The sequence below is a fragment of the Homo sapiens genome, chromosome 3, assembly GCF_000001405.40.
Source record: "Homo sapiens chromosome 3, GRCh38.p14 Primary Assembly".
Classification (NCBI taxonomy): Eukaryota; Metazoa; Chordata; class Mammalia; order Primates; family Hominidae; genus Homo; species Homo sapiens.
Window position 1 is genome coordinate 182,534,052 of NC_000003.12, and position 15,268 is coordinate 182,549,319.

Sequence of the window (15,268 nt, forward strand, 5' to 3'; positions counted from 1 at the left end):
CTTAGTAGCATTAAGGCTATTTCAGATTTCCATGGCATCTAATATAGTGCTTGCACATAAAAGCAACTTCTCAAAAAATGCTTGCTAAATGAATGATGGACCTGCAATGCTGAGATATACTGATGGCTTTCAAAACAAACTGCATTGCTTCATTCATTCACTCAACAAAAATAAATTGCAAGCCTGCTGTCAGATACTATACTAAATACTTGGAATACAGAGATGATTAATGATTAAGATGTGATTCCAGCCTCTGAGGAGTTCATAGTATATCTAAGAACTAGATAGCATGAATTTGTTTTAATTTGAAAAATCTACGTTGACAGATTTCTACTTTTATGCCTATCTCTCATAAACAAGATACACTGACCCTTATCAAGACAGAATCAGCATGGAGAAAAAACAAGCTATGTCAGAGCAGAGACCCTCTCAAAATAATTTGAGCCCAGTACTAGAGAGACTTCATCTAGTTGAAGCAGTTAATCTTAAAGAACAGACAGAGAATCAAGGACATGGTACTCGAAGGGAGTCACAAACTGAGGCATGGCTCAGAAGTTATTAGCAAGTGACAGTTCCATCTAGAGGATGGGCTGTGGCCACTAGGGATGTGGGGTCCCAACTGGAAGTCACCGTTAGAATACACATTCCATGCATTAAGGTCCCCTCAATACACGGGAGAATGAATTTGAGAGAAGAGACAATGTAAGGGAAGTGAAAAATTTTGAAGGCTTTACAGAAAGAAGTGACATTTTGGCCTTTATGCAGGAACAGAATTTTGATGAGAAAATGAAGATGTCCCAGGAAGAGGAAGCAACATAAACATAGACATGGAAGTACAAACTTTCAAATAATTTTCAAGAATCATTGAATACTTTCTGGATTCGAGCATAGTTTGTGTTTGTAAGAAAGGAATGGAGTGATGGGAAGGACAGACTGCTCTCTCAGCTTCTTTCTAAGTAGGAAAAAGCCAGATATTACCCTTATTGATTGAAAGAATATATAGAGTCACTAAAACTTTGAAATAGAATAAAAGCAAAAAAAACTACGGAACCTTCAACCCAATACCTCATATACTGAACTCTTCAAAAATCTCTGACAAAACTCCCTTTTTCTGCATGTATTTTTTTAAACTTTTCTTTTAGGTTTGGGGGCACATATGAAGGTTTTTTACAGAGGTAAACACATGTCATGGGGGTTTGTTGTACAGATTATTTCATCACTCAGATATTAAGCTCAGTACTCGATAGTGATCTTTTCTGCTCCTCTCCCTCCTCGCACCCTCCACCCTCAAGTAGACCCCAGTGTCTGCTGTTTCCTTCTTAGTGTTCATAAGTTTTTATCATTTAGCTCCCACTTATAAGTGAGGACATGCGGTATTTGGTTTTCTGCTCCTGCGTTAGTTTGCTAAGGATATAGCCTCCAGCTCCATCCATGTTTCTGCAAAAGACATGAACTCATTCTTTTTTATGGCTGCATAATATTCCATGGTGTATATGTACCACATTTTCTTTATCCAATCTGTCACTGATGAGCATTTAGGTTGATTCCATGACTTTGTTATTGTGAGTAGTGCTGCAATGAACATTCAGGTGCATGTTTCTTTATGATGGAATGATTTATATTCCTCTGGGTATAGACCCAGTAATGGGATTGCTGGGTCAAATGGTAGTTCTGTTTTTAGTTCTCTGAGGAATCATCATACTGCTTTCCACAATGGTTGAACTAATTTACACTCCCACCAACAGTGTATAAGTGTTCCCTTTTCTCTGCAACCTCACCAGCATCCATATTTTTTGACTGTTTAACAATAGCTATTCTAACTGGTGTGAGATGGTATCTCATTGTGGTTTTGATTTGCATTTCTCTAATGATCAGTGATATTGAAGCTTTTTGTCATATGCTTATTGGCCGCATGTATGTCTTCTTTTGAGAAATGTCTGTTCATTTCCTTTGCCCACTTTTTAATAGGGTTGTTTGCTTTTCTTTTATAAATCTGTTTAAGTTCCTTGTAGATGCTGGATATTAGACCTTTGTCAGATGCATAGTTTGCAAATATTTTCTCCCATTCTGTAGGTTGTCGGTTTACTCTGCTGATAGTTTCTTTTGCTGTGCAGAAGCCCTTAAGTTTAATTAGATCCCACTTGTCAATTTTTGCTTTTGTTGCAACTGCTTTTGGTGTCTTTGTCACACAATCTGTGCTCATTCCTATGTCTGACAAAACTCCTACCTTTGCTTGGTAAAACATGAGGTTTTTTTTTTTTAAGTGGGAGGTTCTTTGATAAGATTTTTGAAGGTATTTTAATTCAGTAAAAAATTAGCATCCTGATGATGGTGAGGAAAGCCCAGAATAGACTGAAGTGCTACTGGACTGTGAAGAGAAAGAGGTCCTGAAAGGGAAATATTCAAACTTGAAATTCTGGACCCTGAAATGGCTAAATGTTCAGATACTCCAATTTCTTCTTGACTGGTTCACACACTCCTAGTTCCTTACCTACCTCACCTAAGCCCTCTTTGCCTCCCAGAAAGTGGGAAATGTCCCTCTTAAAGAGATCAAATGAAACAAGAAGAGAAACTATATATTTTGTCTCAATTCCCAATCAGCTCAGAAAGAAGGCAGAGTTGACCTAACTTAGCACCATAAACCTCACCTTTCAGCTGGTACCTTTGTGTACCCTTTCCTGATGCCAGCAACTCAGCCCATGTCTCCCACTCAGCTCTCCCAGGCTTCTTAGAACTCAGATTCCCAAGACAAAGGACAATTGAGGCCCAGTTAGTGCTCAGGTTTACTGAGAATTAAGCCATAGGCAGATACCATCAAAACACATCTCACTTGTGACCTTTCACAGCCAACGAATTGGAAGGATTTTCCTTTGCTGGGGATTGAATTTAAAACGACTTCCCAGGAGTGAAAGGTCACCCCATGAAACCATGATATCCAGTTAAACACAGCTAAATAGAACGTTTTAGCATGACAATAAATGGAGTTATATTTAGCTGATTTGGGAAACTATCTGGCTGAGGGAAAAGCAGTACAGAGATTCTTCATCTACCACCCCTTCTCCCCTGGCTGGGAGAAGTAATGGAGTAGTACAAAGGTGAAGAATTTTACCAAATCTGTCCAGAGAGACCATTTTTGCTTTCCCAACATCTACCATGTTCTGAGTAGGACGTGTTGGTTGAATGGCATAAAGGCTATATTGTTTTCTTGATGCACACATGAAATTCTTATGAGCATGGCTGGAGCAAGATGGGCTCCAAAGGGAGAACATACCCTCAAATAACTCTCTAGGCAGCTTTGATTTCTAGATACGTATGAGGTGAAAGCACATTAGCCAAACTGGCTTTGATAACAAATGCATTCTTCTTTAACAAGGAAAGACTAAAGGGAAAAAATAGTTGGCACCCCTCTCCCTTAACTTGAAATGCCCCATGCCATTTTGAAAAAGCCTCATATTTTGCTGTTGTTAACTAACAGATGGTTTTGTTAGCCGGTGACTGTTTCTCTAAATAACTCCTGACAATAAAAGGCTGTGACACATGAGAGCAAAATGGGGACCATAAGTGGTAGCCTTTTACCTCCAGAATCTTACCTTGTCGTTCATTCTGAAACTTGATGTGTGTAATTGCAGCCACTGGGAAGGTGTGGAGTGCTACAGCATCACAGATCTGCCAGTAGTTAGAAGAGATTAAAGGTGTATGTTGTTTTTTTAGAAGGAAAAAAAATATTTAATTGAAACCAATTTAGAAATCAGGATCCCTGAGAGTTTAGAGTGAGAATGTTTTCAATGAAACACTGTTTCATCTTGGCTATGAAAGACTCATACGGTTTCTCTCCCAAGCTAAGTGTGCTATTTGATAGGGAATCCACTGTTTATGCTTGTCCGGCAAGACTCTCTTTACTACACAATGAATTGGTACTTTTGGTAAATATAATCCCATAGTGATTTAGCAAAACCCATTAGCCTCAGCCTTAGCCCTGTGGATTCCATCTAACATTCAGTTTCACCTGTAGTGGCCAATCTCTTTGCTAACAGTCTTTTTCATATAAAGCTGCCATCTTCCATTTTATCTTTTTAAAAATCTCACCTAATCTGGCTATCTGTACCTTTGTTACTAATTTTTTATTCTGCCTTTGGACAGTCCAAATTAAGCATGACCCAACCTGTTTGGGCATAACAAGGCCACTTTTCAATCTCTAGCTAAGGAAAAAGTAAAATCAAAGAACTTACTAAACTCATAGAACTGATACTCAGGCTTCGAGCCCTTGGCTCCTAAATGTGTATGCTGGCCTAGCCACTTTGAGTCAACTGTCAATGTGGGAAGACCTTGATACCACATAAACAAGACTACAGTCTATATACAATTCAACAAATATGTCCTACTTAGAACTTGGTAAGTGTTAGGAAAGTAACCATCTTACTTCTCCAATTTTATTTTGTTTTTTTCTCATCTATTGCTGACCTCCCATTGATCTCTTAATACCTTCACCCAGCCTCTAAAGCATGAAGCACTATTCTGTTATGCCTAGAGTCCAAAGCCAGCTGCATTTCCTGTTTAATAATTTAATCTCTCATCCTTGGTTCAAAGAGTTCCAGTGACAACTTTAGCCTGGCACTGAAACAAACTGTGCCAATCTGTACTCTTCACCAATTCTGTGGCAACCCATTATCAGCCAATTTCACTCTGCTGTATGCCCTCTAGGACCCAAGTCACCCCCAAAAGGCCATGGCTCCAAGAGGTGTGGTTATGCATAGACAACATGAGGTATTTCCTTTTAGGTACAGCTAGAATGTTGTTGCAGCAATCCCATCACTGAGGTGAGGAGATGATGGTGCACTGAACTGTAGTGTAGCAGTAGGAAGAAATAAAAATTGTCATATTCAAATGATATGGTGACAAAACCAGCTGACTGATTGACTAAAGGAAATAAAAAAGAGGGAGAAATCAAGGGTGACATTCAGATTTCTGGCTTGGAGAAGGTATTGGATGCTGGATGTGGAAAAAAGCATAAGCGGGTAAAAAGTTTGGGATTTGAAAATGATTGAAACAAGGGCTATGTAGTCATATGTGTTGTTTTTATCCCATTATTTGTCAAGGCTTTTATTTGTTTTGCCAAGTAGGCTTCTCTGTTGAGAAGAGGTTATGGTCACTCACCTGCAGAAATAACAAAGTGCTTATTTAAATCGTGTTCAATATGACGTGTGTTTGAGTGAATCTTCTCCAGACCCTTAAGAAGGCCGGCCATGTTTAAGTAGTGGAAAGAGTTCTAGATCAAGTAAGAAAACTCGTGGCTCAGAATTTGAACCACTACTTACAAGCTGTGAGATTAAAGGCATTAAATAAATAGAGGGTTCAAGAAAATGATACTTTCCAACTCCAGTATTTTATGACTATAATGCATATTTTATGACTCCACTTAGAAAAGAAGACTAAGTGGAGTTTTTTAGTGTGCATCTAGTTCTTAGGACTATCATTCCCAGCCTTTGTTTATTTTGTCTTCTCTCTCCTATCTAACTCACACATAATGAAAAGGAAAATATTTGGGAGACAGTAGTGGATCAGAAATTGCAAGCCAGTTGGGCACAGTAGCCCACACCTGTAATCCTTGTACTTTGGGAATCCATGGTGGGAGGATCGCTTGAGCCCAGGAGTTCAAGACAAGCCTTGGCAATGTGGTGAGATTCTCTACAAAAAAACGCAAAAATTACCCAGGTGTGGTGGCACACACCTGTGGTCCCAGCTACTCAGGAGACTGAGGTGGAAGGATCACTTATGCCTGGAAGGTCAAGTCTGCAGTGAGCCATGATCGTACCAGTGCGCTCCTAAAAAGTTGCAGGCAACAGAAACCCTTTAAAAACTGAGTTCCTAGAAAAATTGGATTCATTTACAGTATTGGCTTTCAGCAAGTATGCACCCACTAGAGAAGCATAGACATACTGTAATATCTCTGTACAAATATGCAGGACCAGGGCATACTTCATTTCAATAAATATCAAAATGTAGGGCATGGGAATTTTTGATAAAACTTTTATCAAATCACAGAACTTCAAATCCCAGTTCCCTTGTCTATAAGTGTTACCACATCAATATCCACCCAAGATTTTGGTTAACATAAAACACACTTTTTACAAAGCACCTACTACAGTGTCTGGCACTATACTCAATAAATGGTAGCTACTATTGTAGCTATGCTTTGGAATCATTTACTATAATCTGAAGATTAAGTCAGGCAATTTAAAAACCAAAAACTAGCCAGGTGCCGTGGCTCTTGCCTGTAATCTCGGCTCTTTGGGAGGCAGGGGCAGGCAGATCCTTGAGGTCAGCAGTTTGAGACCAGCCTGGCCAACATGGTAAAACCCCATCTCTACTAAAACTACAAAAATTAGCAGGACGGGGTGGCACACACCTGTAATCCCAGCTACTGAAGAAACTGAGGCACAAGAATAGCTTGAACCTGGGAGGTGGAGGTTGCAGTGAGCCAAGATCACACCACTGCAGTCCAGTCTGGGCAACATAGTGAGACTCTGTCAAAAAAAACCAAAAACAAACAAACAAACAAAAAAAAAAGAAAACCTGAACCAACAATGGAGTGTTGAAGAATGCAAAAGGTACCCAACCTAGACAGTGATCTCATGGAGTCACTACGATTATTTACTGTTTACCTAGCACTTTAGCCCAGCAAAATTCAAGGTCAGTTATTATTGTCTACAGAACACAGGAAATAAAAATAGCACTTCACAAATGGGAAAAACACAGCACCCTTGCTGGTAGGAGTCATATAGTTCAACTCAAACAAGTTCAAACACTTGATGGCCTAAAGCCATTGTCAATAACCATCCCAAGACATCAAAGAAAACAACCCAAAAGTACCTCTGGCCTTTTCCCCCCCATGAAGACAGAGGCTGAGTAATTATGTTATATATACAGGATACGCAACCTCAGATAAACTTAGGGCCAGGGTGGTGAAGTTACGCAGGCCTTTCTCTCAAAGATGGCCTTATGCTTTCTCTTTGTGAAAATGACAAAATATGAGCAAGCTATCATTTTCATATAAAAATAAATAATTCCAAGAAAACACATAGAAAAGTACATAAAACAGAAAAGCAAAGTGAGCTTCAAAAAAAAAAAAAGACAACATGTGAATAAAAATAACTCACATTTTTCCCACACACCTCGTCATTGACTGAAATCTTCTTTCAATGAACTGATGATGGCATCATGCAAATGATTTTCAGAATCACTTGCCATGGTTACAGTATAAGCTATGGACACCCACATACCCATCCACTAAAATGAGTATCTCAGTTAGGATTCTTTGGTGGGAAGTGACAGAAATGGACCCCAGTTAACTTAAGCAAAGTAATAATGATCATAATAATCATTAACAATAAAAAATAAATTAGAAAATCTAAAGAAAAAGTGAACATTCAGGCTTTGGGAAGAATAGGATCAGAGATGCTCCAGGAAATTAGGAAATAGGTATTAAAAGATTATCTCTTTTAGTCTTTAGGGGAAAGTCATTGGAAAGACTCTTGTCAGTGCTTTGTGTCAATGTCCAAGCAGTGAATATTTGAAATTCTGAGAAGATGGGATAGTCTCACCTCAGACATGTGTCTGAGGAGGCTGAGGATAGCGAACATGACCACCTCATCAGAAAAGCAAGGGAGGAGGGAAGAGAAGTCCCAGAATGAAAAATTGAAGTACTATTAACAAAGAAAGGAGAAAGGGCTGCTGGGGAGACCAATACTACAGATTCAATCATAGCTAATCTCAGAAAATATTGGTGCTGGACAGAAATCATCCATGGTTTACAAAACCTATTTGTGCAGTTTTATTTTTAATGTGAATGCAGCATGAAAACATATAATTAAAATTTTTTAATTGAGAAAAAATGTGATATAAGCTCAGACTCTTAAAGTTTTTCCCAGCCCTGCCACTAAAATAATTCCACCTGCAGCAACAGCAGCACTTGCATGCACAATGTGCCATCAGGAGCACTCACAAAGCACGGATTATGTTTTCAAATCACACTCATAGGAACCAGGACTTGGTAAAAACACCTGACTTCACGTTTTAGGGTAGGAAAAATTAGGATGGCAAGGGTGTGTCTTGCAGTTATAGATCAGCGTGTTTTCTAGGATGCCAGGGGATGTGCCAGAGAGACAACAAATCCAGCTGAAGAGCTACTACTCACAAGGTGTGACAATTCAAACATTCAAAGCAAACAAAAATATGCTAATGATTATGGCTAATTAGAATAGTTGAATCTGTGAAAGGTAGAATTCATTATGGCACTGAAAAAAGTTCATTTCAAAAGTGTATAAAAGTAGTTGTAATACAAAGATAGCATTTTATTTATTTTAACAAATAGTGAAATGTTGATGTAAGTGAGCTTTTAATTATTTCCATACATATATGTGTGTTTTTAAATCATAGTGATATACTTGTTTTTATCTGTGTGTACAGGAAACAGTGAACACAGGAAGCCATGAATAAGTCAAATAGATCCAGAAAAGCTCACAGTACCAACAACAGGACAGGACTGCTTAACACCAGTAGTCACAGATAATAACCAAGTGGGAAAAAAAACTATCAGTTGGTCAGTCCCAGAGATCATACACAACAGAAATTAAAAAGAGGAGCTCACAGTGTGTTACACAATGAATAATTAAAACAAAATCCCAAAGAAGGGAATTAACTGAGCAAATTTGATCCCTCATTGTCTGTGCAGAAAACCTCTGGGTGACTACTTATTAAAATCAAATACTTACGTGATATATAATTTGATTCCAGTAGTGCTAAAACCAGATAAACATATCACAATGGCAGCACAATACCCAATTATAGGCAGGGAAGACTCCAAATTCCAAAAAAAGTAAAAAGTAAAGGATTTTAGAATTCCCATTATTAACCACCAAGTATGAAACTTAACCATGAATAAAAGGTTTCATCCTAATGATCATAGACTTGAGTTTCATTTAAATTGGGTCATACAATCAATTATTGTCTCTGCAAGAATCAGTTCCAATCCTGCAGCCTAAACTGGTCTCCATTTTTTTTCTTTATGCCTGATAATATTAGTACAACTAGGATGATTACTGCAACCCTAGAAATAGTATCTTCTTAGTTATAGCAACCAGGAAGGCAGTGTTGAGAAAGGTATAAAATTAAAATTTAAGAAATGAATAAAGAGAGAGAGGTAATGAAGAAACAAATGCAAATCCATTCCATGGTATTAGAACTTTCATAAACACTTTTAGTGTAAGTTTTTACATGTTTTGTAATCACTGATATTTTGTAATCATTGTGGTATTTTTCATGTTTGGTTTGTTTGGAGACATGTTTAATATATTTAAGAGAGTAAGATATATTAAGTTTCACAGATTTAATTACAATCAAAGAAAGGGATTAAATATGTAATTAATTTTTATAGGTTGGGATACTTATTTTGACAAAGCCATAGTATTTTCATAGTAGCTGGGTCAGCAGTGTGAAAATATTTAAACCAGAAGTCAGCAAACTTAGTCTAAAAAGGGCCAAATAGTAAACATTTTAGACTTGCAGGCCAGACTGTCTCTGTCACAATTACTCAACTCTATTGTTGTAGCATGAAGGAAACCATAGATAATACCTAAATGAATGGGCATGGTGTGTCCTGATAAAACTTTATTTACAAAAATAGGCAGCAGGCTAGATTTGGTCCTTGGGCTATATTTTTTTCAACTTCTAATTTGGAGGAATAGTAATGGTTTTATATTTTAAAGAGTTTTAAAATAAATTCAAAAAATAGGCATTAAACAAGATACAAATGGTACTGAGTATTTTTTCCACATGCAAAATTCCCTGAGATTTGAAAGAAATCAATCCGTCTAAGCCCAAGTCCAATCCACAGCCAACCATAGATTTTTAAAGGCCCAACTCCCCCTTCTTTTCCACTATCCTATGTTGATAACGTATTAGCATTCCCTCATTCTGCCCAAGTTATGAGATATACTTTGCCTGAGATATGCTACTTCATAAGACACAGTCTCAAAATCTGCTTCTGTTTTCTTTCATTATACACATATATAATAAACCATTCTGACAGATGAAAGATGGATGGAAAAACAAGGACAAGGACATGAAGAGACTTTTTCAGACACTAATTTGCTAAGAATTGGAAAATGGTCATGAGCTACACAACCTTATGGAATACTGGATAAATGTAAAAGAATAGTAACTTAATGCTATTATAATGTAAGTTCTATTCAAAATATCAACCTTATCTGCTTTGTTTATTCCCATATCACTAATATCTAGAACAGAAGTGCTTTGAACATAGAAAGTGCTCAAAAATATTTTAAAATAAGTCAAATAAATGAATGAATTCATGGGTGTGGGGACTTGGGTCCAAATTTGCCATAATGGTTGGTCCATACGATAGCTAGTCTGCAGCTCTGTCAGTGCCGGCACTCCTGGAAGCAGACACAGAGATGGAATTAGAAGTGCAAACATGTGTACTTGTCTGTGGAGGATAAATAAAGCAATTATAGGAAGGGAAAGACTTTATATCACAATGCCGATCTAACACCTATGAAAAGAGAGCAGGAAGGAAGGAAGTGCTTCAAACAGCAGTGTAGCTCGAGAAAGTCCTAGCCACGACAAGGAAAGCCACAGAACAAACTGTTTTTTAGAGGAGTCTCTCACTGGGCAGAAGTGGCCTGGCTCACAGAACACCTCCTGTACCCAGTTACTCACTGGGAGCAGTTCTAAAAGAGCACAGACTTGAAGATGAAGGCTGTGGTGGATTCTAAAGGTGCAGCATCTGGAAGCTGTCTGCCGATTGCACTCTTCAGCACGCTCTGTCTTGAGGGAAGGTCTGAGGGGCCCACCTCCATGACCACAGAAACAAAAAGGCTCCCGGTTTCTAAGGGTGAGCAGATCAGATACAATTCCAATACTCAATTTTCTCTCCTATTTTTCACCATGAGCTCTGTGAGCTTTTTCTTCTTGAATATAGGAGGCCATTTCTCATGTCGCTTCACCATCGGTAGCGTAGCAACCCTCAAATCAGTAGGAGAAGGGAGAGCCAATTAAAACAGGTGGAGGTTTTCTTAGAACACAACTTAGGAAGACGACACGTCTAACACGTGTCTTTCTTCTCATTCAAATGTGGGCGTGGATTTGAAACCTTTCACTTATGGAAACGTTTCTTTCATCAAGAAAGTTGACAGATGTCGACTTTTAAATTTACACATAGAAAGGGCATCTCTATGTGCCAGCGCCATCAGAGACTACAAAGCCATTCCCTCATCTGACAGATATCCCCCACTTAAGGGCTAAGTTTCCAGTAAATATCCACATCTAGCTTGTAAACCAAAGATGGAAACCCTTTGCTTCTATACCTAATTCTGAGACACTTCTTTCCTCTATTAGTCCAAATAAAGTGACAATGTACACAGAAAAGTAAATATATTGTATAGAAATATAGTTATAAAATTATGCAAAATGTATAACAATCATACACTACTATTAGATAGTAAAAAGCACTAAAGAAATGCAAATAAGTGCTATGGATGTTCAAAAAAAGAAGATTATTTCCAACTGTGAAAAGTGGGGGAGAGTTTCATGGAGAACATGGCATTTAATCTGGGTCTTGAGAGATGAGTAATATTTGTACACATGGAGATGAGGTAAATGATATTGACAGAATCACAGACAAAAAAGCATGGAGCAAAAAAGCACAATTTTATTTTTAAAATCAGGACAAAATAGTTTTCATGGCAGCAGGATTGATGACCTAATAAATTTCAGGCAGCTCTCTGGTTCCTAAATTTTAAATCTTAAGACACTGTAGGCATGCCAATCACTGAATGATACACCATTATTGTTATTTGTTCATAAGTTTGACATCAGAAAAATTCACCTGAGTGTAGAAGATTGTCTCTTGGCCACAAGGGCCATTCTGTCTTGAGGATATATTTTGTTAGCAGGTATGACATATGTTAAAACAGAACTGAAGACACCCATAAAGTATAGCTATTGCATGACAGACAGAGTGTTTAAAAATAAGTTTAAGAGGGTGTCATTAAGTTCAAGTGGTGGCTCTGACACCAAATAGCTCCTCTCTGACTGATCTAAGAATGAACACATTCTCGCTGTACAGTGTTCCATTAGTGATTTTAATTGCATGCTAAGCTTTATAATTTGTTGCTGGCATTGAGGTTCATGTACTGTACTAATATTTATTCTGCATATTATAAAACACCTTATTAAGTTTATTGCCCGCTTTCTATAAAATTTTTCATCTGACTTGCATGTGAAGAGCTAACTTACATACCTATTAAAAGTAGTGCTGAGTTACAGGTCCTGTTAATGTTCTCAACAGTTTTTTAACTGTTTTAAGTCTATGAAAGGAAAAAAAAAAGGATAATTTGTTTCCTACATTTTAAAATAAACTATATTTACATCCTATTATGTAATATTTATGCCCTGAGGACCACCAATAATATAAATGGTAACTATCTAGTTGGTTTTTTATACCCCCTGACTGCCCCGACCCCTGCCATGGAGCTGTTTCTGACAAATGGGACGAGAATATGTACCCTCCTTTAACTCACATCCAGTAAGTGAAGGATGCTTTATTTTAAGTGCCTAGCACAGTCTCACACATTGTAGATGATTAAGGTTTAATGAAAAAAATAAAATGCGATGTATTAGAGTTACTCTCTAAACCTCCCCAGCATCACATCAGATCTTATGGTGTATTTTCAGTACATCACAGTAGTGGCAGAGACACAAATCTAGAAGATAATTACAGAGCAACAACAAATTCCTCATCATTATCTCACCACACATCCTTGCCTCTCCCATCGACTTGCTTTAATCCTTTCTCTACTTTTTTCTAAACCTAAATCTTTGATGCACTAACTCCTGCTGAACATCTGCCATCTGAATATTAAGAAAAATGTGTGAGCACTCAAGAATATTTCTGTGAGGCTTCTCTCTTCTTCCCTTGCTTTCCTCCAATTTCTTTCTTGAAAAATATCTCCAAAACATGAATAGGTGAGTCAACAGCTCCTATTCTTCCTACCAAACAAAAAGATGTAATAGAAATGTTTTTATTCATTATAGGCCAGAGATAATCACCGCATGACAGGAAAGTTCCTAAGAGGATAGGTGCTCTTTTCTTACAAGTATAAGTTAAATTATGTAAAAGTCTATGAGCAGTAAACATTGTATATTTATGTTCTAGAGATAATGTGATTATTTTGGAGACGCTGATACAGTGATCACTTTTCCATAATTCTACTGACCCACCCAATGTATCATTCTTACCTTCACTGACTTGTTTGGCAAAAGCAGGGTTCAATGGCAGAGAATGGGCTGGCTTGAGTGACTCCCACCAATAAAAATAAAATGTGTCACTGCTTTCCTGGTAATAAGAGCTGTGGGCACAGAACAAGCATGGGCTCTAGAGTCAAGTATACCCGGTTTGAATCCCAGCTCTTCTGTTTAGTATGTTACTCAACCTATCTGCAACTCTGGTTCTCGAAGGTATGAAATAAGGTAGTCATACATACTTGATAAGGTTATTGTTAGGGTTAAATGAAAAAAAATGTATTATGAAGTGTCCGGCACAGAGCATGTACTCACTAAATGATTGTTTTCATTTTTAAGTTATTTTATTTCCTGTCCTTATTTTCCCTCGATTCCTTTAAAATTGCCCTAGAATAGTTTGTTACACACACCTGCAGCGACGGCATTCCTGGAAAGCTCTTGTCATGTCACTTCACCATTGATAGTGTAGCAACCCTCGAATCAGTCGGAGAAGGGAGAAGGGAGAGCGGATTAAAACAGGTGTAGGCTTTCTTAGAATACAACTTAGCAAGGTGACATGTCTATCGCAAAGTATGTGTTTCAGGTGAGTTTTACATCTTAAAAGAACCCAGAATCTAAATTATGAATACATTACTGCTACTTAAATCTTTTTTGAAGTCTTGGGTTTCTTATTATTTTCCACAAATAAAAATGCTGTACAAGTGGAGAGGTGACCGGGAAGAAACTGAATTAATGGCATTAGGTTATGGCACTGTTTCATCTGTTGCTGAAGAGCAAATTCAACAGAGAACAGGTAAGGAAGTACAAGAAGGAAAAGAAGAAGAGGTGCATTGGACAGTGTAGTATATCAAGATATCATTAGCTTATTTTTTCAAAATTTACTAAAGATACACATCATTAAAAGATAAATCTAGTCCTTATTATCAAGGAGCTTATGAGGAATGAATTAATATTTTTGATTAATGCAAATATGAAGATGTGTTCAGTGGAGACACCTAGGTTAATTTCTCACCCCAGATGCTGCCCACATGATTAGAGAGTGGAGAGTGCAACACAGAGAATATTTCAAGCCTGGCTATACTGTCTGTTATAAACCTAGAAGTCTCTTGAACATATCATATACTCCAATGTAATTTCTCCAACATGTATGTTCACTTCATGTCATTTTAAATCTATACTAAGCTGCTGAGAGAAACAAGCTCTTGGTTTAATTCAAATAAGTCTAAGTTGGATGACTGTCCTACCTTGTTGCTTTGAAGTAAAAAGATAAGTAGATGATTTTGGAAAAATTAAACTAGTCACTGAAACCTTCAAAATGAGACCTACTTAATATGTTTGTTGTGGTGGTGGTTGTTTTATGCTCCTGTTCTTAAAAAAGGAAATCTATTTTTTTTTAAAAGATGCCCAGGATGATCTGAGAGTGACTTAGATCAATCCAGTTAAGACCTCATTACAATGCAACATAATATCTTCAAAGAAAACTGCCAGGCACACCTAGCCAAAGCTTAGGGGTTCATTGTTCCAGAGGGTGGAACTGACTGTGATGGTAAAGAAAAACAACCTATGTTATCAAGGCCAATGAACCAGAGGTGCAAATATAGTTAATGATGTGTTTTTACAACAAATTCTTATTTTTCCTTTTAACCCTACTGAGACCATGGTCATTTTGACATTTCCATATTTGGTGCTAACCTAACAGCTAGTGTGTGTTTTCAAATGGAATAGCTAAAGAATTTTAGAATAGAAGCTCTACCACAATGCAGCTTTTAAATATACTTTCAACTATTCTTTGATCTTTTTGCAAGGAAAACTTCTTATGAACTCTAAAGTATTCTTTCATCTATTCTACTTTAGGTGACCTGTTCATTTTATTTCTACCTTCATCATGCATATCCATCACCAAAAGTATATGCTTTATTTGTTTTATCAAGTCACAGCATTTTATTTT